Genomic DNA, 24,879 nt, shown 5'->3' with positions numbered 1-24,879 from the left:
CCGAAGTGCTGGGATTACAGGCCAACATGTATATATTCTGTTTGTTGTCTGTCCTCTCATATTAGATTGTAAGCTCTATGAGGGCAGGGATATTTTTAAACTACCATACTGTCCCGATGTAGGACAGTTCCTGGCACATAGTAGAGACTTAATATTATGATCAGTGAATAAAGATCTAATTGGTAGAATTTTTAGTTTGGATCTCCTTGGTATCTGTTTTTATAAGCCAGACTTCCCTTCTCCCGAACCTCAGTATTTGTCATTTAAACAAATACCACTTGGAAAAAAAATCAGCCTTATCTCGAGTCTGTTGGATAAATTATATGCACCTGAGAGACCAGCCTTGAATTTTCCAATTACCTCATACATCTAGGGAACTGCTTCCCATGAAGAAGCCTGTTGTATTATATCATCTATCCCCATGTGCCTTTTAATGAATCTGATTTCAGAATTGAGAACAAAAAGCTTACCATTTATTTCAGTTGGAGGTTTCAGTGATTGGACAACTTTATGTAGATGAAGTAACATTGCAATAAAAAATTTCCAGAAGACATCTAGGTTCTGGCTAATGTGTTAGCCTTTAAGCAATATTAATGGTAACAATTCTGTTACAAATATTTAAAGTTTGTGTGTGGGTGTTGGGGATTGGGGGTGCTGTCTCATGCATGCACTACAGTGGAGTCCAAACTCAATTTAACTGAGCTGTCTTGCCTGCTGAAAGACCTGGCAGAGTCAGTGATCAACAGAGCCCAAGACTCCAAGGTGAGGCAAAAAAAGAGTGGGAGGATTTAGGAGCTGTCCCCAGTGTAACAAAGTGCTTCAGAAATCACCTTTGAATTGTGAGCATTGAAGCGTCAACAAGATGCAGCATTATGATGTACGTTATGCCTCTGGTGTTACAGGTAAGAAAAAAGAGTCACAAATAAGAGCCTCTGTCCTCTGGGATGTTGTAACAGGATAAACACCTTGGCTGTCTTGGATAATAAACATACACATACCTGTCAGCCCACCCATACTCTAATGTCCCAAATGCAATAGTTGCTCAACTTTCCTCCAGAGAATGTATCCCTGTATGGTAGGTTTGGCTCAATGAAGAGGTGGTTCAATGAAGTGGATGCTCATTAGAAGCAGGCAGTATAGGAAGAAACATCTCACTCTGACTTGTGAGCTCTTACATATTGATTTCCATTCTTTCATCACTTCCTCAGATCTTCCCTAACTAGGTCAAATCCTGTTATAAGCCCTCCCAGCCGCACAGTCCTCTCTTGTAGCACTCAGCATCATGGCTGATTCACAGCCACACGGGGTTGACTAATGCCTGTCTCCCTTAGATGCTAAGCCTCAGGAGGACAGGATAGTTTTTCATTTTTGCTTACTTTTATATTTCCAGTGCCCAGCAGTGCCTGGCATATAAAAAGTGTTCAATATACATTTCTGAATTACTGTGTGGATAATTAAGCAAGAAAATAGTCTCATCCTTTCTGAAGTAGTCTCTACCTATTAATACATCTGGATTTAGCTATGGAATCTGGGTAAAAAGAACTCAAGATAGTAAAAACATTGTGTAGCTGCATATCTGTCGCCCCTCTTCCCTCCCTGGGAGTTAGGCTGGGTTTGCTTTTTTTTTTTTTCATATCTATCTCCATCCCCTAACTACTGACTTCTGTGGTAGTTTGTACTATAAATGACCCTGATTTCATTTGTAGTTATGAAGACATTTTAGTCTAGGTCATATGCCTAGGAATTCTGAATTTCTATTATAATTCTCTTTGTGCCTACAGATGTGCTTTTAAATTGTTCCTGCCCTTTCCTAAGTCTAGATGCTATATCACAAACAGCAGCACAATATCCCACTTTGGAAACCTAATTCTTTCAAGGTATTAGAGTTGACAGCAAAATTTCAGACAACCAGAGGCCACACTGAACACTGGTGTCTCCATGCTTATCCTATTAGTGCAGGAGAATCTGGCTTCACCTTTGAGCCCTGCTAAAAGCCATTTCATTGAGCAACAGACAATCAGAGCAAGGAAACAACTCAGTGTTCATGAATTGCCATGCTAAATCACTCACAGGATTGATAGAGAAATAAGTCACCTCCCATAAACAGAAAATTTTTTTTTTCTGTTTTTCCTTCTTTTCATTAGCAATTGTTCCAAAAACACTTACTCTGCTAATTTCTGCTAGAAAGAATCACCGTTCTTTCTCTGTGGCCCAGGCTGGAGTGCAGTGGTATGATCTCAGCTCACTGTAACCTCCGCCTCCTGGATTCAAGTGATTCTCCTGCCTCAGCCTCCCGAGTAGCTGCAATTACAGGCACCCAACATCACGCCTGGCTAACTTTTGTATTTTTAGTAGAGAGGAGGTTTTGCCATGTTGGCCAGTCTGGTCTCGAACTCTTGGCCTCAAGTGATCTGCCTGCCTCAGCCTCCCAAATGCTGGGATTACAGGTGTGAACCACTGCGCTGGGCCTGCAATGGGAGTCACTGACAAGGTTTTTAAAGGGCCCAGGACTCTGTCTAGCTGCGGCATGCACAATACTCCTATTTGATCAACATGGCTAAGGCAAAGTCAAACTACATACCTTCCATGAAGTCAATTCTGTCGAGTAAGAAATGCCTTATAAATCCGGTGCTCAGGAATGTTGCACTTTGGAGACAGATGTTCACCATCTGGTTCTCAGCTGCACCCATGCTGCTGCTGGTTCTCATATTCCCAGACCTTGTCCCACAGCAATAACACTAGCACTTGTGTGGCCCTTCATGGTTTTCAAAGCATTTATTACCTCATATCATCCATGCCCAAGTCAGGTGCAATAGGCAGATGTAAAAAGCAAATCCAGCAGCAGTATTGTGACATGAAGGAAGGCTGGTTAACACAGGCAGGACTCATAGTGCAGCACCTCAATTAGACCACTGTGTTGTGGGATGCTGCCCATCGCTAGAAGGTGCAAAGACCCACCTTGTCATACCTAGACTTGACGAAACTGATTTACACTAAAATGAATATGAGGCTGAGACAGATACCAGAATGCCACTTCTGTTAATTCATGCCTGTCTCCCTTAGATGCTAAGCCTCATGAGGACAAAACAAAAAAAACCAAACAAACCCAGCCTAACCCCCAGGGAGGGAAGAGGGGAGACACATATGCAGCTCCACAATGTAATTCATGTAATCCATCCCAGCACTAGGATTTAAGAATGCATGTTTAGTATATTCCATCCCATTAAGGCAGTGGTTCCATTTTTTTCTGCATCCACCTCAAGTCAGTAGCATCTCACGGCTATAAGAACACCTACCCAAGACATAACTAGGTTGCTTTGCTTATGTACAATAACATGAGAAATTAGAAAAGCTGTTTTAAAATACCAGGAGGCATCTACCTTACAGTAGATTACTTGTCAATGGCCTCAATATCTGAAGATTTTAAGTTACAATCCCTGCATCCCTCTCCAAACTAAAAGCCAGAATGCTTGAACCTGAAAGAATTCCTCTCCCCTAAACAATGCTTGATTGGAGACTGACAATGTTCATCTAATACCTTCTAGTTGACATTACTGATCTATCTGGTCAACCATGTTGTAGTATATATATTTGCTATGAAATTCCCAGTGGAGCATGAGATACATGCTAATCCACACATTTTACAGATGAAAGGATTGAGATGTCCAAGGAATCTGCAACTTGCCTAATATCAATCAGCAAATGGCAGAGCCAGGTTTGTACATTCTTGCTGGCCTGGGAGCCACTGCTTCTCAGGTGACTCAATCTTTACCTTGGTATGTCAATCTTATAGCAAAACTTCAAAAAGGCAATGTTACTTCCTTTGCTTCTTGATTTTATCAGAAACCTTATTGCTGCTAAGTTCTGAAAACTGCCCACCTTACAAATGAGGAAATCAGAGTGTAGAGAAAGTAAGGATTTTTTTCTCTCTCTTTTTTTTTTTTTTTTTTTTTGAGACGGAGTCTCGCTCTGTCACCAGGCTGGAGTGCAATGGCGCGATCTCAGCTCACTGCAACCTCCACCTCCCAGGTTCAAGCGATTCTCCTGCCTTATCCTCCCCAGTAGCTGGGACTACAGGCGCACGCCACCACGCTCAGCTAATTTTTGTATTTTTAGTAGAGACGGGGTTTCACCATGTTGGCCAAGATGGTCTTGATCTCTTGACCTCGTGATCCGTCTGCCTCGGCCTCCCAAAGTGCTGGGATGACAGGCCTGAGCCACTGCACCCGGCCAATTTTTTCAACGTTACACACCCAGCTAAGATGAACCTAGAACTAGAGTCAAATCTCAAACGTTCTAGACTAGAATTCTTCCCACCAGGCCATTGTCTTTACCTTTGTAAGCCTTTAAATCTTGTCCTTATAGAAAACTTCTGCTTAAATAGGCTCCGAATGCCTCAGTCCACACTCTGACTGGGTTAACATAGGGTCTTGTTTCCCAACTCAAGGGACAGAAATGTTTCTGTGTTAGAAGAACTGTGATTCTTTCTAGCAGAAATTAGCAGAGTAAGTGTTTTTGGAACAATTGCTAATGAGAAGGAAATCTGAATAGTTTCCTGAAGTATAAAATCTCAAGTGTTTGTTTAGGGTACAAACTGCTATGTAAACAACACAGAAATCTCAGTAGCTTAAAAAAAAAGATTCCTTGATCATGTCATAGTCCAGTGTAGGTGAGCTGGGGCGAGGAGGGAAGTGTACATGGGGAGCCATCCTGGGACTGAGGCTTCACTAGTCTAATAGAAGGGCTGATGGCCAAAAACTAGGCTAAGAACTGCTGAGCTAGTGGCTTCACCTTCCCTAGGGCCTTGTAATCTTCCATCAGTTCCTTTGCATCCCATAGGCTGAGGAGGGAAGAAACAGCATGAATGATCTTTTGGAAAGTGGTAGAGGGCCACCTAGAAGTGACTTACATCAATCGCTTCTCTCCACAGTCCATTGATATGGACCCCGTCAAACTGCAGCAAAAACTGGGAAATACAGTCTCTCTGGGTGCCCGGGAGGAAAAGGAAGTGGGTTTGGTGAACACATAGCATTATTTCTGCTACACTGTCAAACACATTATTTATTAGATTGTATCAATACTACTGTTAGTATTATTAGTATTGGATTGTACCAATAGTATTATTAGTATTGGATTGTACCAATAGTATTATTAGTATTGGATTGGATTAGTATTGGACTGGATTAGTATTTATTAGATTGTACCAAATACTAAATGAAACAATGATACTAAATGCTACAAATACTGCAAATTTGTAAAAATACAAATACTATTAAAAATGACACAAATATTATACAAATACTACAAATAGAAATGTTATAATAGAAATACTAAACGATACAATGAACCAAATGATACAAATATTAAACTGTATGGTGATAACCAATATTAAATGACTGAGTGATATACAACACTAAATGGTACAGTGATACAAATACTAAATGATACACTGACACTAAACAATACAATGATAACAGATACTCAGCATCTGTTCATGTACAAAGCATCTCCTTGATCTTCAGCCTGAGAGGAAGAACTGCCTGCACTGAGAGAACTGCAGAGATGGCTGGCTGCAGGGTGGCTGCAGGGATTGACTCTCTGCTCCACCCATAAAAAGATGGTTACAGGTGCAACATCACTGGCAAGAAGAGATGAAGAGATAGGATGGAGCCTGTGTTAGAGAAGGTAGTAACTGGTTCTCCCATCATCAGCTAAGAAGAGAAAGGCAACACAGAACTTTTTGAGCTTTTTTTTCCTTTTTTTGAGACAGGGTCTCACTGTATTGCCCAGGCTGGAAAACAGTGGCACAATCACAGCTCACTGCAGCCTCAACCTCCTGGACTCAAGGGATCCTCCTGCCTCAGCCTCCCAAGTAGCTAGGACTACAGGTGTGCACTACCACGCCTAGCTCATTTTTTTATTCTTCATAGAGATGGGGTCTTACTATGTTGCCCAGGCTGGTCTTGAACTACTGGCTTCAAGCCATCCTCCTGCCTTGGCCTCCCAAAGTGTCGGGATTACAGGCATGAGCCACCACACCTGGCCCGCTTTTTGAACTTTACTGAAGCTTATATACAATTCTGCCAGAGTTGTTTTCCAAAATCATCCAACTCTAAAACATATTCTTTTATCTAAAAAAATCAATTGGTTTCCATACCACTCATTAAATAAATTATTAACATAATTGGTTAACTAATTGGTTAACACAACCCCTCCTCAATTCTGGGGATAAGATTATGCCTCATTTTGAGGAAGGTGAAAGGCTTGACGGTGAAATTGAAATGCAAAGAACAGAGTTCAAGGCTCATGGTTAGGTTGTTATTCCCAGATCCTAATACAAACCAGCAATGGTGCTATTCTGAGCCCTTATCCACAGGAGGTTAGATGCCAAAAAGGACTCTGAGGTCAGCCAAGGTGAGCTTGGTGACAGATTCTCCAGACCCTGATAGAACTTGTTTGGCCAAATCTTTCTTTTTTTCTTGGAGCTGTAAGATCTTTTCTTCTACTGTTCCCTCACAAACAAATCTAAAAAACAAAAACAAAAAATAAGCAAACTATCAAAAACCCTAAGCAGCACATCTAATAATATATTCAAACTTTTATTATGCTTTCATTTTTAATGAGATTTCTTCCTTTAAGTCTTCTTAGGTCCAGTTAAGAACCCTGTCTGAGGAATCCAAACAACCTTGACTAGATATATATCCCTTTAAAAGGATGTGACCCACATTGGCATTTTAATACTTTCTGAAGCTAAGGTAATTGAAACAAACTCAAAATAAGCAAAAGATATCCCAATCCAAAAAAGTATAGAGATCCAGCTTTTACCCAAAAAGTTCTACCTTGGTAAGTCCATAAGGCCTCAAAGGTTATCAAATTTCTGCTAGTTTAAGTAGAGTATTTCTTAGTGAATTCACAATAAAAACAGGGTTTTCAAACCAAGTAAATGGCACTGTTGTCATTCATTCACTCATTCAAAAGTATTGATTAAGCACTCACTACACTATGCTAGGTGTGGGGATGGAGAGATGAATATAGTCTTGCTCCAAAGCAGAACAAAAGCGAGACAAACATGAAAATAAACAATAATATGACCTGGTAAGTGCTATAATGGAAGTATGTGCCGTGTGCAAAAGGAGGAGAAGGAAATGTGTCCAGGGTAGTCAGGGAGGGCCCCATTAAACAGTTAACTCTTAATATGAGACTTGTATGTTGGGCAAGGGTTTGCCAGAAAGAGCAGTGAGGAGAGCACCCCAGGGAATGGGAACACGTGCAAAACCATGGCTGAGTTTCAGAGCATGGTGTATTGGAGGAAGTTCACATTGACCATGTTGTCCACAATGGCAAAAGCTCAAGAGGCTGGTAGGGCCAGATCACGGGTGGTGGTGCATGTCATGCTAAGACATTTTGATTTGATCCTATAGGAGGTGAGAGCTACTGAAGAATATGAGAAGTGGATGACACAATCAGATGGATTAGCTAGGAAGAGCCCTTCGGTGGTGATGGAGAGAACAGGATTCAGCAGAGTGGGAAGGGGGGACCTGGCAGTGGGCATGGGAAGGAAGAAATGGTTATCAGAAACATTTAGAAAATATAACTAAAGGACTTGGTAAGTGGAAAAGCGAGAAAGGTAGGAGTCTAGTTCTGGCTAGATAATTAGATAAAGAGTGATACTATTCACAAAGACAATGACTACAGAAGAATAGCAGATTTGAGATAATAGGAAGAGAAAATCAATTTCTATTTGTAACATTTGAGTACCTGAAACATGTAATTATACTTGCTACATAGTGGGTGCTCAAAAGGTATGTTTTATGGGCTGAATGCTCAAAAGAACAATGAATAAAAGAAGGAATAACAGATGAGTATGTGGACACTCGGATTCAGATATTTAGCAGGGACTGCGATAGGTCTGAAGTTTAGGAGACCTTGGAACTAAAGATACAAATTTTGGACTTACTGGAGTGCACAGAATTTGTGAAGGAAGGAATGTACAGAATGAGCAGAGAAGAGAGCATAGGAAGACTATCATAATCACTATATTTAGCAAAGTCTGGAAGTCATTGGTGCCCCTTAACAAGAGCAATTTCAGTGCAGCAACAGGAGTAAAAGCCAGTTTGTAAAGGCTGAGGAATGAATGGGAAGTAATCAAGTAAAGATAGGCAGTGATTCCTAATTCTTCAGGAAACCTGGTCATGAAAAGGAAGGCAAAAAAGAGGGCCATTGTGAGAGGGGATTGGCAGCATTAAGGCAGGTTTTGTTGTTTTTAAAGACAAGGGGGTCCAAAACAGAGGACATTTTGCAAAATAACTGGCTCATGCTCATCAAAATGTCAATGTCATAAAACACAAAGACTGGGTACTGTTCCAGATCAAAGGAGACAAACTTATGAAAACTGCGTGCTACCAGGATCTGGGATTCTTTTTTGCTGTGAAGGACATCACTGAGACAAGTGAGATTGAAAAGATCTGTAGATCAGATAATAGTGTTTTATTAATTTTAATAACCTGATTTTGATGATTTTATTGGGGTTACGTAAGAGAATTCCCTTAATTTTAAGAAATGTACACTTAAGTACTTAGGGACAAAGGAGCATCAGGTCTACAACTTGTTCTCAAGTGGTCCAGAAAAATGTTTCTACCCACATGCACACCATAATATATGGGAACTTTTTGGTACTATTCTTGTACGTTTTCTGTATGTCTGAAATTATGTCAAAATAAAAGTTAAAAAGAAAAATAAAAGATAGGAGCATCCTTTCATGGACTGCCCTCACCATATACACAAATTTGCTCTTCTTTTGCAGTGACCAACTTCAAGCTTACCCCAAATTGCTCGTTTTTCTCCTGACTGTGGTTTGCCTGAAGGTATGCCTCAGGGGCATCATCAGTAAAGTCATCACCAAATACTTTAAATTCTATGAAAACACTACCTAAGAAAGAAAGACTTTCACAAAGTACAAGTTGAGAAGGGTCCTGGGTCCTGGGGACCATTACTTACCTGTGTATGACAACATCTTTCTGCTGCCCTACTCGGTAAATTCGGTCACAAGCTTGATCTTCAAGTGATGGATTCCTGTTAGAAGACAGCTAAAGCTCAAAGGAACTGACATACTAGATCAGAAATGGCAAACTATGGGCCATGGGCCAAATCCAGCCCACAGCTTGTTTTTGTAGCTAAAAATTATTGTTACAGTTTTAAAGGGATTTAAGAAAAGAAAGCAAAGCAAAACAAAACACACACATCATGTGACAGAGAACTATGTGGCCTGAAAAGCCTCAAAGAAAAAAAATCTGTCGATCCCTGTCCTAAGCTATACTGGCCTAAGACAAGCTGGTGCCAGATACCTTCTTGCCTAGTTTCTAGTGAGAAACTAGGGTCAGACTGTTAATAATAGCTCTTAGCACTATCATCAGTTGACAACTCTTAAGTAACAGAGGTGAAACCAAAACTCAGGTCTGGTCTCTAGGTAGCTAGATGTCCTTGGGCAAGTTATTTAACCTCAGTCCTCTAGGCTTCAGATTGCTACTTGGAAATTGAAGGGCCAGCTAATGATCTTGACTAGCTGCCTTTTTCAACTTGAATATTCTGTGATTCGATTAAGGAGACTTAATTTGTTTCCTTCTTTATTGATTCCCATTGTAACTCCAAATTAGTTTCTCATCTTACCTCTTTAAAATCTTGGATAACATTTCTCTATCTCTGAAAAAAAAAAAAAAGCATGATTCCTAGTATGCTTTCCTCACTCACGTGTACAGAGGAGTCCCAAGTAAGAACTAAACCCGTTCTCCTGGAAGATGATAACAGGTTGACCTATTTGTACCCATCTGGGCTGTCTGGAGAATTGGACCAATGACAATCCCCAGCAGCAATCCTTGATTGGCATAACTGGAAAACCAGAAACTGGTACTCATTATGAGATTTTCTGTTAGCAACACACTAACTCATTCATTCTGTAGCCACGAAAGATGTGGTTGTACTCCTGGTATTAACACTACATACAATGAATCCAAGGGTGAGGTATTAAGTGTATTTCTAACATAATTAGAAAATCCCTATTCCTTTTCTTTTTGGAGTAATGCTTCTCCCTCTTTTCAAAGGTTGAAATTTCCTTGGACCCCAACAAGTGTGTCTGGAATACAGTATTCTGGAGAAGAGGTAAAACTGAGCAAGGTTAACTCTTAGCCATGAGGAAAAGCTATGCTCCCCGTTTCCATGGAAACAGATGTTAGACTAACAATAACGTGAATGAACTATTTTGAGTAGTCATTTGAAGGCTTGCTAGCTCAGGAATTCAGGGGAGTCAGCTAGCCCTATACCCTGCTTAGATCTGTATCTATAGACACATACAAAGCAAGGCATCTCTGCAATACGAACACAGCAATCAACATAAGAAGTCAGTTCTTGCTGCCCCTGTAGCCCACTGGCCTCCTTGATGTGCTGTGACAACCCAGGACAAATCCGGAATCATTACCAGTGCATGTCCAAAAGAAAGAGGTGATTTCCTCCAGTCAGGTTTAGACCAACACCTCCGGCCAAGAGAGAGATTAGCATTACCTTCAAAAGGAAACACAACATTAACTTTAAACAGACTTGGTCTCGTAACACATCTCGGTCTCAGGTTTAAGTCCACAATCAATACAGATAAGCACTGTGTTCCTATCAAATTTCCTTCTGCTGTTATAAATTGTTTTTTTTTTTAACATTATAATGCTATCTCCCATGTCTCACTTTTGAGAAAATTCTCACATCACATTTTGTGTGTGTGTGAGTCAACCTCAAAAAATTAACTGAGTGCTTGCCAAAATATATAAATACTGTAATTTAGAACCCTGGGGATGGTCAGCTCAATAAACTTTCAATTAACCAGATTATGTTTATTTCATCAGTCCCTACCCCTCCATTGCTACAATAATTCTCCTGCCTATCATTCTACTAATGCTTTCCAAATCTTTATTATCTATAATTAGATGCCTGTGTTCTTTCATTTCCTTCCATATTTCCTCATACCAAAACCCCACCTATCCTTCAAAGCTTGCCTCCTCTGCAAAGATTCCCCTCAACCTAACCAGCTCTGCTGTTAATCTCCTTTTAGTCCTCATATTTGATTCTTTTTAGAATATTTGTGCTCTTTAAAAGTATCCCAATACATGTCTAATAAATTCTAAACACTCGGAGGAATCAAGGCTGTAAATATTTTTAAGTTGCCATATCAGAATTCTCTTTATATGGCTGGGCACGGTGGCTTACGCCTGTAACCCCAGCACTTTGGGAGGCCAAGGCAGGTGGATCACCTGAGGTCAGGAGTTCAAGACCAGCCTGGCCAACATGGTGAAACCTCATCTCTACTGAAAATACAAAAATTAGCCAAGCTTGGTGGCAGGAGCCTGTAATCCCAGCTACTTGAAAGGCTGAGGCAGGAGAATCGCTTGAACCCGGGAGGCGGAGGTTGCGGTGAGCCAAGATAGCACTATTGCAGTCCAGCCTGGGCAACAAGAGCAAAACTCCGTCTCAAAAAGACAAAAACAAAAACCAACCAAACAAAAAGAATTCTCTTTGTATAACTCAGAACAGTTAATTATGCGGCTCTGATGTGACCAGCTTGTACCTGAGGGCCTCTGGAGTGGTTAAATGCCTCTACCAAGTCCATTCTCTGCTTGGGATTGACAGAGCCATCGATGGTGGCATAAGTCAGTCCATGCTTCTTCAGGTGCAATGCTACAACTTTCAGCATGTTGGTCCACTGAGAGACAATGACACTGGAAAGAAGAATAAAATAAAAAAATACCCTAACATAGATTAAACAGACTCATCTGCAGGGCTTTAATGCCCTCATCATTCTTAAGGTTAGCTATCAAATGTTGACAAGGAAAGGCCTTCTGCTACCTAAGGGAGAAGGCACACATTTAGGTCATATCTGAAGATTATAATGCTTCCAGTTATTTCTAGGTCCTTTCTACAATTTATTTAGTGCTAAATGAAGTCAGAAAAAAATGGTAGCTAGAGTAAAGTGATGACTCCAGCCTTCTTTCATTTGGGGTCCTAGTGCTCATCCAGAAATCTGTGGTCCTGCACAAAAGGGACACACTGACCACCCTTCTTGTGCCAGCCAGAACAACAGGCTCCTCCCTGCCCCCACGCTGTCTTAATTCGAGTTCTAAATTTTTATATTGAATTATTTTATAAATAATGCAGGTGTATAGCACATATGTCAGGTATAACAAATGAGTCCTTGTATCCAAGTACTCAGCTTAAGAACGTTATCAGCACTGCTGGAGCCTCCTCACTCGCTTGCTTTTCTTTATATGCTTCTCTACTTTTAAACACTTTTTCAGATGCTTCGCTTACCCTGATCCTCTAGGGATCTCCTTTTCAATTTGTACCACAAATATTTTAATTAGAAATCACAGGGAATGTGTGCTATAACCTCAGTGCTTTCTGCTGAGCATGACTCACAGTCCTTGATTTATAACTCTTGGCAATATCAAATTTTCTCACATAATTATGACCAATACTTGGATAATGAGAAAACGCAGTTACCTCTTTTGGGATGCTGAATTTCTTTGAATTGCCTCCAATTCTGCCAACAGAGATGAAATCTGGGAAAAGGTTACATCAACATTGTATGTTTAAGCAATTCACTTTTCTCCATCTCCCCTCACCTGCCATGCGAAGCAGCCTCCTACATGGCGTCTGTGCTCTGGCCTCACCTGTCTTTATTCCACCCTCCTCTCTGCAGCCAGAAAGCTCTTTCTAAAATGTGAGTTTGTCACTTCACCCCTCTGGCTAAAGCCCTTCCATAGCTTCCCACTGAGGATAAAGGCCAAGCTCCTCAAGGCAGCTTGCCGGATTCTTGCTGCTCCAGCCTCTGCTTCTCTGGGTTCGTTTCTCACCATGCCCTCCTCAAACGACACAGCAAGCACACCAAAATTCTTCCCATAAATCACACACTGGCCATCTTGTCCATTCTGCTCCCTCTGCCTAGAACACCCTTTTGTGTCAGCTTAATGTCACTTCTTCTTGGAGGTCCTCCCAACCCCCAAAGTACAGGTTAGGTGCCCACTGCCCAAGTACTATCATAGCACCTTTTGTTTCTATTATCACGGTCCTTGTCATACTGTATATTAATTGCTTATTATCTCTTGCTTCCAGGACTTGAGACACTCCAAGGAGGCAAATATTAGGAAAGTAACTTCTCTGTTTCGGCCATGTGTGAGGGGCTGTGAGTACACACATGGCCAAAACAGAGAAGATACTCTCCTAATGTTTGCTGAAGAAGAAAGTGAAAGAGCTTTACCCACTTTATGGCCTGCTCCAAATGTTGTTGAAAAGGACCTGTCCAGACGGAGGAACCATTGTTAAAGCTTCCGAACAGGCTCCCTGGGTATTCCCCAAGAACCCTTAGGGTGCACTTGAGTCCACAGGGGAGCTGTCAGTAAGAACACGTGGGGCATGACTTTGGAGTGCAGCTGGGCTCATTCTTCCCAGCTGCTCATGTGAAAAACCTTTCAAGAGCCTCTAAGGGCCCCAGAGTTCACCCCCAGAATGCTGGAGAAGGAAGAAAACTGGGCTGTAAGTCAATCAGGAGACAAATATACAGAAGTTCTTCCTCTGTCCTCATATGGCTGGACCACTTTGGGACTCAGATTCCTCATCAGTGAAAAGAAGGACTTAGGCCAGATAAATTCTGAGGTGCCCTGAGCTCCCACATTCTAGGATGTCATTACAGTGGTCACCACATGGGGCTGCTTTCCAATCTTAACAAACATTCTGGTGCCTAGGCAGGAAGTGAGTCACAGAACTGTACCATTCAAATTAGCAGACAGAAAAGCAGCTACATCTGTTATTTAGTTAACAATAGAACAGAGACACTGATGTGCCTGGTGTCTTGGCAACTTGAGATTGTGGAAGGCGCTGTGACTCCCACATGAAAAAGCTAGCCATGGTGTTTTGAGAAAACTGCAGCAGGAGGGCTGGATTTATGGCCCACGAGCCGGGGTCAAATTCCAGTAAGAAGCCTCCTTCCCTACTTGAAACAACCGTATGTGGTTTGAACTATTAATGGACATATGTTAAGAAAACTTGTGAATAAATATTACCTGCATTTAATTAAACAAGGAACACAAATGATTAGGAATTTAAATTTTAGCCCAATAGCTCACTCTGAAGGCACTAGCATGTGTGTTCTGGCCACATGGGATGCTCTTCTTATGTTTCTCTCAGCTATCAGTGGTAAAGACCTAGGTAAATGTTTTCAAATTTTAATTAAAAGGCAGCATTCCTTTTAAAAAATAATGCCATTCCCCTGGAAGTGACCTTTCTAGTTATTAATACACTTTTTCAAAAAAAGCCTTTGAAGAGAGGTTGAGCCCAAGAACGGCAGCTTGAGATGCTAAGAGAGAAACAAGCCTCACTTTCAAGACAGGCAGGATGATGAAGCACATTCCGAGCCAGCAGACAGGCAGGATTCAGGTTACGGCATATCTAAGCCTTCCTCCAGCAGAATGTTTCTGCCTTAAAAAGCTCTGACGAAAACAGAGCAGAATGACTAATGAAGACAGAAGGCTATGTAGGAAACACTACTCACATGTGGAAGCCTTTCAAAGTCAGAGCAATTGGCGCTCGCATGTATGACACAGTCTCTAGAGTCAAGCCTTTGTTTTCCTTTTAAGCTTTCTCTAAACAAATTGCTCACTTGCATAGGCCCCGTCCCTAGCACAAACCTGGCAAGCTCCCCAGTGACCCATGACAGAAAACCCACTTCAGTGCAATGCTGGGGTTGTCCCAAATTACTCTCTCAAAGTCCCCTATGTAGTAAGGCTTTAGTGTTATCTGTGAAATAAATGAAGCTTTAAGACTGGAGGGAGAATCTGATCAGCTAGAATTTAACGGCTCTAGCTCTGCTGGCAAATGGCTGTTCCCACTTGGACAAATGAAGTGCTGTCACACAGGAAAATGTGTGAGGAATCGAAGTCTCTCGACTACTACAGAGGAGACAAAAAGTACCTTGGTGCTCTCTCGCATGCCTTCAAAAAGCTCCATCTTGAAGAAGGTGCCGTTAAGGGAAACAGTGGAAGATGGCTCTGAGTCACGGAGTTCTGACAAGGTCAAAGCACTGAGCTGTTCTTCCAGGGAAAGGACAAGACCTTCACCCTTCAGTTCCATTGGATCCAGGGCCTGAACAGACAAAAAAGGACAGGAGCAGCTGGGAGTCAAGGGAGCAAACCTTGTTACTTGTTGATGATGTTTTGATTGTTTACCACTTCACAGAGCAAAATATCTTGTAATTTGTCATCAGTAACTCCTCAAGACACCTTGATTAAAGTGTGATCTTGCAAGTTTTTTCACCACATTAAAGATAAACCAAATGATGGAACTTTTTAAAGACTTGCCAGGCAGATGACATAATCATTCTATTTTTTCCAAGCTAGAATATAATTGAGATGTTGATAATCAGAATACATTATTACAGCTCCTTAAATGAATAGAATACTCCTCTTAATTTTGGATGTGCCTCTATCCAAGGTAGGGGCAACTTTTCAGTCTGTATAACTATCTGAGTTTTTATAACTGGAACCCAAAACCCCAAAACTGCCTGAAAGCAGAAAACCCCAAGAACTAAATTAGCTTTATGACATTCTGAAGTACCAGAGCATTCACAAATGGCTTCTTTTTAAACAAAATATCATTTTCTTTTCTTAAACAGTTAATCTAAAACAAAATAAACAATAGAAATACACTATTCTTGATGCCATAGGAATTATCAAGATTAATATGAAATAAAGCAAAATAAATAAGCCCCCTTTTCTCCAACCCACCAAAAAACAAAAATAGAAAAACCGAAACAGCATTTCCTTTGATCAAGCAGACTGGATTCCAGTTGGAGGAGAGTGAAATTGACTTCTCAGGTGGCCCCTCTGGAGCACTATATGACAGCAGGCTGAGGGCTTTTCTTACCGACTTCAGTAAAGAAAGATGACAGCAACACTGGCGGAGTCTCAGCAACTGGGACAGTATGTGGACGGTGCTGGATCTCGGTGAGTCTGCTGCCTCCGAGTGTCTAGGCTCCTCAGACCCAAACTCCAGTGCCACTTCCAAGAGGGAAGACAAGCCACAGGATGGTACAGGATTTAAAAGAGAAATACGGAGAGAGCCAGGAACTACATGGGGCTACTTTAACCATGTTTGATCTCAGACTCAATAATATAGTTACAACTCACTTCTATAGGCCACTTCAATTAGGCCAAATGAAATATCGGTTTTTCCTTATAGAACTACCTGCATTTTAATAAAGCAGATTTAGGAAACAATTAAAAAGAAGCTAAATAAACACCAGATCTCGTGTTTGCAATCAGTAGATTTTACTCTGGTTTGAGGGTCTTAGTTAACGCCAAATCTCTGATACCAAGGATTCATAACCTCACATTTCTGTGTTTTACTGAATCCAAATCCCCATTTTCACCAGTCATATGTATTTATGAGAGTCCTACAGCTTACCTCTACTGAATGGATTATTAGGGCTTCTTCCAGATTGGTTGCCTCTACTTTCATGTCTTTTTAGATAGGATTGCAGAGCTGACCTGCCTCAGATTAAAAAGAAAAAAAATGCATGTATAATGGTCACTAAGACCTGCTTAACTGTGCCTGCAGTGGGATCTTGACAAATTATAGAAGACTTGTTAAATGATGCCAAGCTCATAAGAAGCAATGGCCAAAGGTAATGCAAAAGAAACAGTTATTTTAAAAAACCAATCTTTTTTTAAAATAAGCTAACAAATATAAGGTGTAAAAGAAGAAAAAATATATTTACATTAGAAATGTAAATGAGAGGTACCAAATAGGAAACAGTAAATCTGGAATTCAGGGAAAGATAAGAGTTCAAGAGAAAGTGCAAAGAACAGATGACACAAAGGATTACAAAGTCATCTTCTTAAAGTTCCGGTGAGATGCTGGATGACAGGTCAAATGTCAAAGAGATATTATTATTCAGTACAGCCCCATGAGGACCAGACAGATTCAGTATATGGTGACCACACCCTATGACTTCTATGCAAGGAAGCCAATGAAGAGTAGGTTCAAAATTTTGCCTTCCATGTGTGTATGAGACAGAGGTAAGCTGGGGAGGGGAGAAGGAGAAAAATGGGGTAAAAAAAAAAAGGGAATACAGACATCCAACTAATCAATAATGCCATAAAGTTTGTGGAAATTTGACCTTCAACTCACTCCCAAGAAAAGACAGGAATAAAACAATGTGTGTGAGAAGGTGCTTCTTTAATACACACACCTTGATCTTGCAAAAAACACATTGTAAACAGTCTCTTCATCTTCAGAAAGCTTTAAATGGTGCAACTGAAATTTACGCTGGGGCAGTATCACCTGGAAGAATAAAAAAAAAAGCTGGCATGAAGCTATACAAATTAACTGCCTATTATAGAACAAATTCCCCATACTGACACTGCATATCTAGTCAACCCTGGAATGCAGCTTCCACCCTTTCTTAGACACAGGACTGCTCCAACATACAGTACAACTGGATTGCTATGACACTAGGCATGGAACTGCAACCCTGGGGCCTCCTCACAGGAGGATGGGAAACTCAGAGGCTCCTGAAGCAAAGCAGATGGCTGTTCAACCCAAGACAAGGACACAGTCATGTTCCTTCCCTGGCCTCCCCCAGGGACAGGTACAAACTTGATTACCAAAGGTCTGCCAGTAGAGTCCAGCTGGTCTTTTGTTCTCCTCAGCAAAAGGCTCTTGGTTAAAATACTTAACCGTTCTCCTCCTTTCTTTGAGCCATTGTCAACCTGACTCCTCCACAGATTGAACTCATCAAATGGAGAGCAACGGAGAAACCTTTTTTGTTGAGGAAGAAGGGCACAGAGTAGGGAAGGAAAAGTCAGGGAGAATGGAATAAAGGTTCAAAGTAAGATATAAGATGACAAATCAGATTTTCTGTTACACCTGTCATCCAATCACTTTTAAAAGTGAATTTCATAGCAAACCTTTGCTGGACAGATCAAAAGGATGTAAGTCAATAACAAAACCACATTATAAAAATGTGAGTTTTCCTATTAACGATGCCTACGCTGTCACAACAAGACATATAACCAACAGCTAGAATTTGTTCCTAAAGCTACAGGAGCTAAGAAAGAAATTTCACATCCTCTTATGGCTGACTCGAATAAAAATAAGTATTTTATTTTTAATTTTTTTCTTTAGAGACTGAGGTCTTGCTCTGTCACCCAGGCTGGAGTGCAGTGGCATAATCATAGCTCACTGCAGCCTTGAACTCCTGGGCTCAAGCGATCCTCCTGCCTCAGCCTCTCGAGCAGCTGGGACCACAGGTGTACACCCCTGTGCCTGGCTAATTTTTTAATTTTTTGTAGAGGTGGGGTCTCATTTTACTCCCCTGGCTAATCTTGAACTCCTGGCTTCAAGCAATCCTCCCACATCAGCCTTCCAAAGTGTGGAGATTACAGGTATGACCCACTGCACTCAGCCAAATGGAAATATTTTAAAATCAACATTCTTTTTTGTTTGCTTCAAATAAATTGTAGTGCTAGCCCTAGACCATATGTTTTAAAGCAGAAGTAGCCGAAAACATTCACTGGACTTAAGAATAATTTTTGCATATATATATATATATAGCATATATTTGCATATATTTTGCATATATTTTGCATATATAAAGTCCTATATTTTTGCATATATATATAAGGGCTGAATGTAATCAAAGTCCTATATCAACCAATCAACAGCTATTTTCTCATAAATATTTATTCTTTTGTCCTTTAAAGGTTGACAGGCCTGCCATCTCCTAAACAAGATAATCTGGCACATACTAAGGCTTTATTATGAGACATGAAATAATGATGAAGGGATACAGACAGGGTTCATATTTACACAATCACGAGAAGTTACTCACTTCAGCAGCGAATACATATCCAATAAGTTGTTTTGAATGGGGGTTCCAGTGACAGCCCAACGGGCACAGGCTTGTAGCTTACACACAGCTATGGAAGTCTGCACTCGGGGATTCTTAACATTGTGAGCTTCATCCAATATGATTCGAGCCCAGGCTATTCGAAGCAAAGGTGTTGAGGTGCCCTGGAAGAATCACAAGTGAAATCCAGCCACAATATGGGAAAATGTACATGTCCTTAAGGACACAAGGGGAAATAGCAGGCAAGCATGGAGGACCCACATTTACCTTTAAATTTGCTTAGCTCAGGTACACTGAAATAAGAATTAAGAAACCCAAGAGTAAAACGTCTCAACTGGTTCAAATAAGTTATTTGAGAGTCTCAGTCTTTGAACATAAGATGTCTAAGAGTAAAATGTTTTCAAATTTGGGTTTCCTTTTTTTTTTTGAGATGGGAGTCTCGCTCCGTCGCCCAGGCTGGAGTGCAGTGGCGAGATCTCGGCTCACTGCAAGCTCCGCCTCCGGGCTTCACGCCATTCTCCTGCCTCAGCCTCCCGAGCAGCCGGGACCACAGGCGCCCGCCACCACACCCGGCTAATTTTTTGTATTTTTAGTAGAGTCGGGGTTTCATCGTGTTAGCCAGGATGGTCTCGATCTCCTGACCTCGTGATCCACCCGCCTCGGCCTTCCAAAGTGCTGGGATTACAGGCATGAGCCACCGCGCCCAGCCGACTTTTCTTTTATTCTTTAAATACACACTTAAGCAATGGCTGTAGACCATGACTACACCAGGCATTGAACCTGCAAATTCACTCACTCAATAAAACATTTACTAAATTTTACTAAATTTACTAACAATTTTCCAAAAGTCTACTTTTAGATGTGAGATGCTAAACCAGATATAAAAAACAGTTCCTACCTGCAAGAGCTCAAAATCTAGCAGGGGAGAAAAACAAGTGTAAAGATAATTACAATACGATATAGATATAGTAAGTCCCACTGGCTAGTTCAATACCTGAAGTGGGAATCTGGCTGCTCTTGACGAAACAGCACCTGACCCATAGTGGATACTCAACGTCTGCTGAAGAAACAAAGTGCTATAACTTATGTAAGCACAAGGTGCTGGCAGAGGCATTCAACCAAACCGGGGGAAGGTGGGAAGGGAGTGGTCCAGAAAAGATTCTTGAAGCAGGTTTAAAAAAATTAACCTGGGAGAAGGAGTGGAGGCAAAGCGTTTCATTCGGAGGGAGAACAGACACAACACTGTGACAGAGCATGGTGGGAACTACAGATCCCTTGGTATGACTGAGCAAGAGGTGCCCCAGGGAGGGGCAGGGTGTCATCAAGAGATGAGCGACATACAGGTAGGGCAAGATCATAAAGAGCCTAATATGGCCAGGCATGGTGGCTCATGCCTATAATCCCAGCACTTTGGGAGGCCGAGGCGGGTGGATCACTTGAGGTCAGGAATTCGAGACCAGCCTGGCCAACATGGCGAAACCCCATCTCTACTAAAAATACAAAAAATTAGCCGAGCATAGTGGCGGGCACCTGTTATCCCAGCTACTTGGGAAGCTGAGGCAGGAGAATCGCTTGAACCCGGGATGCAGAGGTTGCAGTGAGCCAAGATCGCACCATGCACTCCATCCTGGGCGACAGAGTGAGATTCTGCCTCAAATAAATAAATAAATGAAGCCTAATACATCATGAAAAGAAATTTAGGGTTTATCCCAAAAGCAATGGAAAACCAGTGAGCAATCTGAAAAGTTCATCATCTATAAGTCAGAGTTGGTTATAAGCTGGAGAAATGTTCTAGAGATCTCTCCAAATACAGAAACCTGTGAATATCCCGTTGGGCTAAAAGGATAACATATAGAAAAATGAGTTCTTGGGATAATACTGTATTTTCAGAGTATAATTACATGATAAAGCCTCTACATCACATAACTGAGGCTGCCCTGGACACCCTAGAAGACCATCACGTATTCACAATTGTCACTTAGCCTCTGGCCTTATTATTTGCAACCCTTTTTTTTTTTCTGGGAAGTAAAGGGAGGCAGGGAAAGATGGCTTAAAATCAAAATACTAGTAGTAAAATACTAGTCTGCACAATAAATATTAAAAATATCATGAGTATATACCCCAAATACTCTAAAATAAAAATAGCAACAAGTAAGGCTTTTATATATTCAGGTGATTATTACCCCCACAAATACAATGCAGTCATCTTTCATTCTAAAAGGCAGCTGAATCCTGTGGCATAGGTTGATCTTTATCACTGAGGTGGTTGTCTGGAATAAGGGTGATGGGATAGAGGAAAGAACAATTCCTTTCCACATGCGGATCATTTACAGCATTCCTGACCTCCAGGGAGGTCCTCTTGCTATCGTGGAGGCTGAGAAAGACTCCCATTAAACCATCTGTGGCTCCAACTCCACTTCCCTGGCTGCCCCCCAGCCTCACCTCCACATTGAGGTTTGCACCTGGGATCTCTGCCTCTTGCTTGTTTGTGGGAATCTCCTTGGCCACGAGGCTATAGGTAGTGATCACGATGTCATATGTAGAGAGGCTGCGTAGACATAACAAAGAAATCAATAAATGGTCCCACTATAGAGGGACAATGAGAGAGGCAGAGTTGATCTTTCAATAAAAATGCCTACAAATGGAAGGACAAACAGCAGAACTCATTAACTTGTGTCCTTAACACACACACGCACACACACACACACACACACACATTTTGGAGGTAAATTTTACCCACTTGGGTTTCCCTATCTCTTACCTCTGATCATTTACCGTCTGCTCACTATAGCTACCACAGCCTCCCTCTTACCATCCAGTGAGTCAGAAAGAAAATTCTCTGGCTGGGATAATATAATGCTTAATATGATCTGGCCAGAACAGAAAGTAGGATAGAGTTGGGAAATAACAGAAAGTAGGATAGAGTTGGGAATTAACATTTAATAATGATTTGAGATGGATGACACCAAAGTCCCAGGGGAGAAAGATAACTTCAAAACACTGTTCACCTTGTATCAATGGTGCTTTCCTCCCACCACTCTATAATGGATTTGTGAAAATTCACTGATCTAGTTTGACATTAAGATATAAAAATACATGCTGTAAGCTTTCAGTGTATCTTGCTTATACTCCTTACATATAAAGATTATTAATGAGAAACACAAATCTTTTTCCAGTGAAGCTTAATATTGTGAGAACTTCAATAAATACTTTATTTTATTTATTTATTTTTTGAGACAAGGTAGGGTCTCACTCTATCCTGTCTCAAAAGTAAATAAAATAATAAAATAAAATAAAGTATTTATTGAAATAAAGTAAAATTCTGCTAATCATAGATCAAGCCAAGTTTATATTAAAAGGGAAAAATTATCACTTATAATTAGCATACTCAGCATCAGAAATGATAATAATAGGTGAGTAACCTACCCTGGTCATCCAGACTGGAGTGTAGGGGTGTGATCTTGGCTCACTGCAACCTCCACCTTCCAGGCTCAAGCGATTCTCCCACCTCAGCCTCCCAAGTAAATGGCACTACAAGTGCACACCACCACACCCAGCTAATTTTTGTATTTTTGGTAGAGATGGGTTTCACCATGTTGCCTAGGCTGGTCTCGAACTCCTGAGCTCAAGTGATCTGCCTGCCTCGGCCTCCCAAAGTGCTCGGATTATAGGCATGAGCCACCATGCCCAGCCCCAAGAGAACCTCAATAAATACTTTTGATAAAAATGATATGCCTAATTCAGAGAGGCAGCAGTGTCTACAAGTTACCCTACTATCATATAAAGAAGTATAATTCAGAATGATTCTAATCGGTCAACTAGTACATTCTAAATACCAAACAAGTTAGGCTCAAAGTACAAATCAAGTGAGATTCAATTTATTTCTAAATAAAAATTTAGCACAAAGGCAGACAACTCACAGTAATCTATGCCAGGGAAGGCCTGCAGGCCTGCCACTGCCACCCTGATGCCTTTTGCCTGCAGAAGCGACTCTCAGTCATGAGAACTGGCCTGTCATAAGACAGAGGGGCACCAATCTAACAACTTACTCCTGAAAGACTGCCGCCCCGTTCTTTAGGAGATAAAATATCCAAATTGGAGGCTGGGGAGAGAAATTACTTAGAGGCAGAAATAACTTTGTTCTCATCCTTGACTACAGCAGCCAGTATTCAATCTAGATCTTCACTCCGCAATTAAGAACAGAAAACAATTCCTTTAAAACCAAAAGACAAAGACTAGGACTAAGATTGCCATGTGGGGAAGCATTTTCTTCCCTCCTTCCTGAGCATCCCTCTTCAAGAATTTATAGTTAACTCTAATCGTCCTAAATTATTGAGTCTAAAGCATCTTAGATGGTTCATATATTAAAAAGTCATAAAAATATAATCAACCTATAGCAACTAATCATTAGCATTCTATCAAGATGCTCTGTAGAACTGGGCTGGTTCCATTCACACTATGTACACCTGGAATCAGAACTCCAGCAGCCATGAGGGCCTTGCGACACATCTCCTTGACTAGGGGAATGCTGCTGTCACCTGAATGGCAGCTCCGGCATCTCAGGCCTCCTCACAGGGCAGCTTTCATTGAGGACAATGACAAGGACACAGCAAAAGATCACCAGTAGACCTCAGGATACAACGCAAAGGCTGTATGGTGACGAGACTAAAGATCTGTCTTTGGCTTTCACAAATACGCGTCCTGATTAAGTGAAATCTCAGGGATGGGAGCAAAGGCCCGTGGGCCCTTGGGCAGAGGTGCTGAACGCCCCCACAACTGCGTATTCCTGCACTTACACTCTGGCACGTGAATCCCGGTTTGGCCCATGGTAGAGATAGACTCTTAGTTTGTTGCTGTTCACCCGTTTCTCCACCTCATTTTTCCAATGATGGATCAGGGAGGCAGGACAGATGATTAGTGTTCCATGGGAAGTAAAGTCACAAGAGTCTTGAGAAGGGAAAAAAATCAGTGCCTAGTTACATTCACCAAATGGCTTTTAACTTTTCTTTTTTAATATATGGAGACACGGTCTTGCTGTGTTACCCAGGCTGTCTCAAACTCCTAGGCTCAAGTGATCCTCCTGCCTTAGCCTCCCACAGTGGAATTACAGGTGTGAGTCATCGTGTTTGACCGGCCTTTAACTTAAAGGCATTACCTCTTCCTCTTGACTGACTTTACTCCTTCAATTAATATGTTTAACCATTGCTCTTATTTCTATACAGAGCCTATAGTGAAGTAGGAAATGGAAGAAATGGTCTTTTAAACTGAAACACTTGATTACTTATTTTCTCCACTAAAAGTACAGGCAGAAAGAGAGGCTAAACAGGGGGAGGAAAGTGGGTGGCACATGACCTCAGTGTGAAAAAGCAATGTGCTTTCACAGAGTGGCTGGAAGTGAAAGCTGGATCATTTCCTAACTCCTCTTGAGTTGATTCATTATAGAGGCGTATGGAGTATTGTTATACTTTCTGAAAAGCATAACTTAATGTACTTCTACCTTAAAATTAAGTACAGAAACCTTTTTTAAAAAATAAGCAAACATTGGTTTGGAACCAATTAGTGATGGTTTGTTTATACCATGGCCCCTCATCTCTGCGTGTGTGTGCCTGTGCTACTTACACATACTGCTAGTACACACAAAGGGATATAGGACCCAGCTGCAACAGTGCTCATTAGAGGCCCTGAGAGCAGATGCCACAGATTTTTTTTTTTTTTTTTTTTTTGAGACGGAGTCTCGCTCTGTCACCCAGGCTGGAGTGCAGTGGCACGATCTCGGCTCACTGCAAGCTCTGCCTCCCAGGTTCATGCCATTCTCCTGCCTCAGCCTCCTGAGTAGCTGGGACTACAGGCGCCTGCCACCATGCTTGGCTAATTTTTTGTATTTTTAGTAGAGACGGGGTTTCACCGTATTAGTCAGGATGGTCTCGGTCTCCTGACCT

At 41.3% G+C, this 24,879-nt stretch overlaps 1 protein-coding gene and 1 non-coding gene across 23 annotated transcripts in view; both read right to left on the bottom strand.

The window, feature by feature from the left end:
• Window positions 1-451: 451 nt before the first annotated feature.
• TTF2 (transcription termination factor 2) overlaps window positions 452-24,879 on the bottom strand; it is a 47,128-nt gene continuing 22,700 nt past the window's right edge. For 4 of the 22 annotated variants that reach the window (XM_047432141.1, XM_047432144.1, XM_017002555.3 and 1 more), the window contains exons 11-24: window positions 23,737-23,887; window positions 21,383-21,488; window positions 18,923-19,104; window positions 17,697-17,850; window positions 17,282-17,373; window positions 16,495-16,577; window positions 15,955-16,088; window positions 15,004-15,174; window positions 12,538-12,596; window positions 11,606-11,756; window positions 10,472-10,554; window positions 8,998-9,072; window positions 6,343-6,525; window positions 5,042-5,711 (exon numbers count right to left, since the gene is read on the bottom strand). In XM_047432141.1, coding sequence (XP_047288097.1) covers window positions 6,381-6,525; window positions 8,998-9,072; window positions 10,472-10,554; window positions 11,606-11,756; window positions 12,538-12,596; window positions 15,004-15,174; window positions 15,955-16,088; window positions 16,495-16,577; window positions 17,282-17,373; window positions 17,697-17,850; window positions 18,923-19,104; window positions 21,383-21,488; window positions 23,737-23,887 — 1,586 coding nt within the window. In that variant the 3' untranslated portion in view covers window positions 5,042-5,711; window positions 6,343-6,380. Of the gene's footprint in view, window positions 6,526-8,997; window positions 9,073-9,666; window positions 10,555-11,605; window positions 11,757-12,537; window positions 12,597-15,003; window positions 15,175-15,954; window positions 16,089-16,494; window positions 16,578-17,281; window positions 17,374-17,696; window positions 17,851-18,922; window positions 19,105-19,934; window positions 19,998-21,382; window positions 21,489-23,736; window positions 23,888-24,879 lie in introns of those variants that run through there. The other 18 variants (XM_047432143.1, XM_047432147.1, XM_047432152.1 and 15 more) reach the window with 11 other exon arrangements.
• MIR942 (microRNA 942) lies at window positions 13,177-13,262 on the bottom strand. The gene has a single exon (NR_030640.1). It is a non-coding gene; the product is annotated as a microRNA 942 (primary transcript).

Source organism: Homo sapiens, chromosome 1 (genome assembly GCF_000001405.40).
Source record: "Homo sapiens chromosome 1, GRCh38.p14 Primary Assembly".
In the NCBI taxonomy this organism is placed as follows: Eukaryota; Metazoa; Chordata; class Mammalia; order Primates; family Hominidae; genus Homo; species Homo sapiens.
This window is presented reverse-complemented; position numbering and strand designations above follow the sequence as displayed.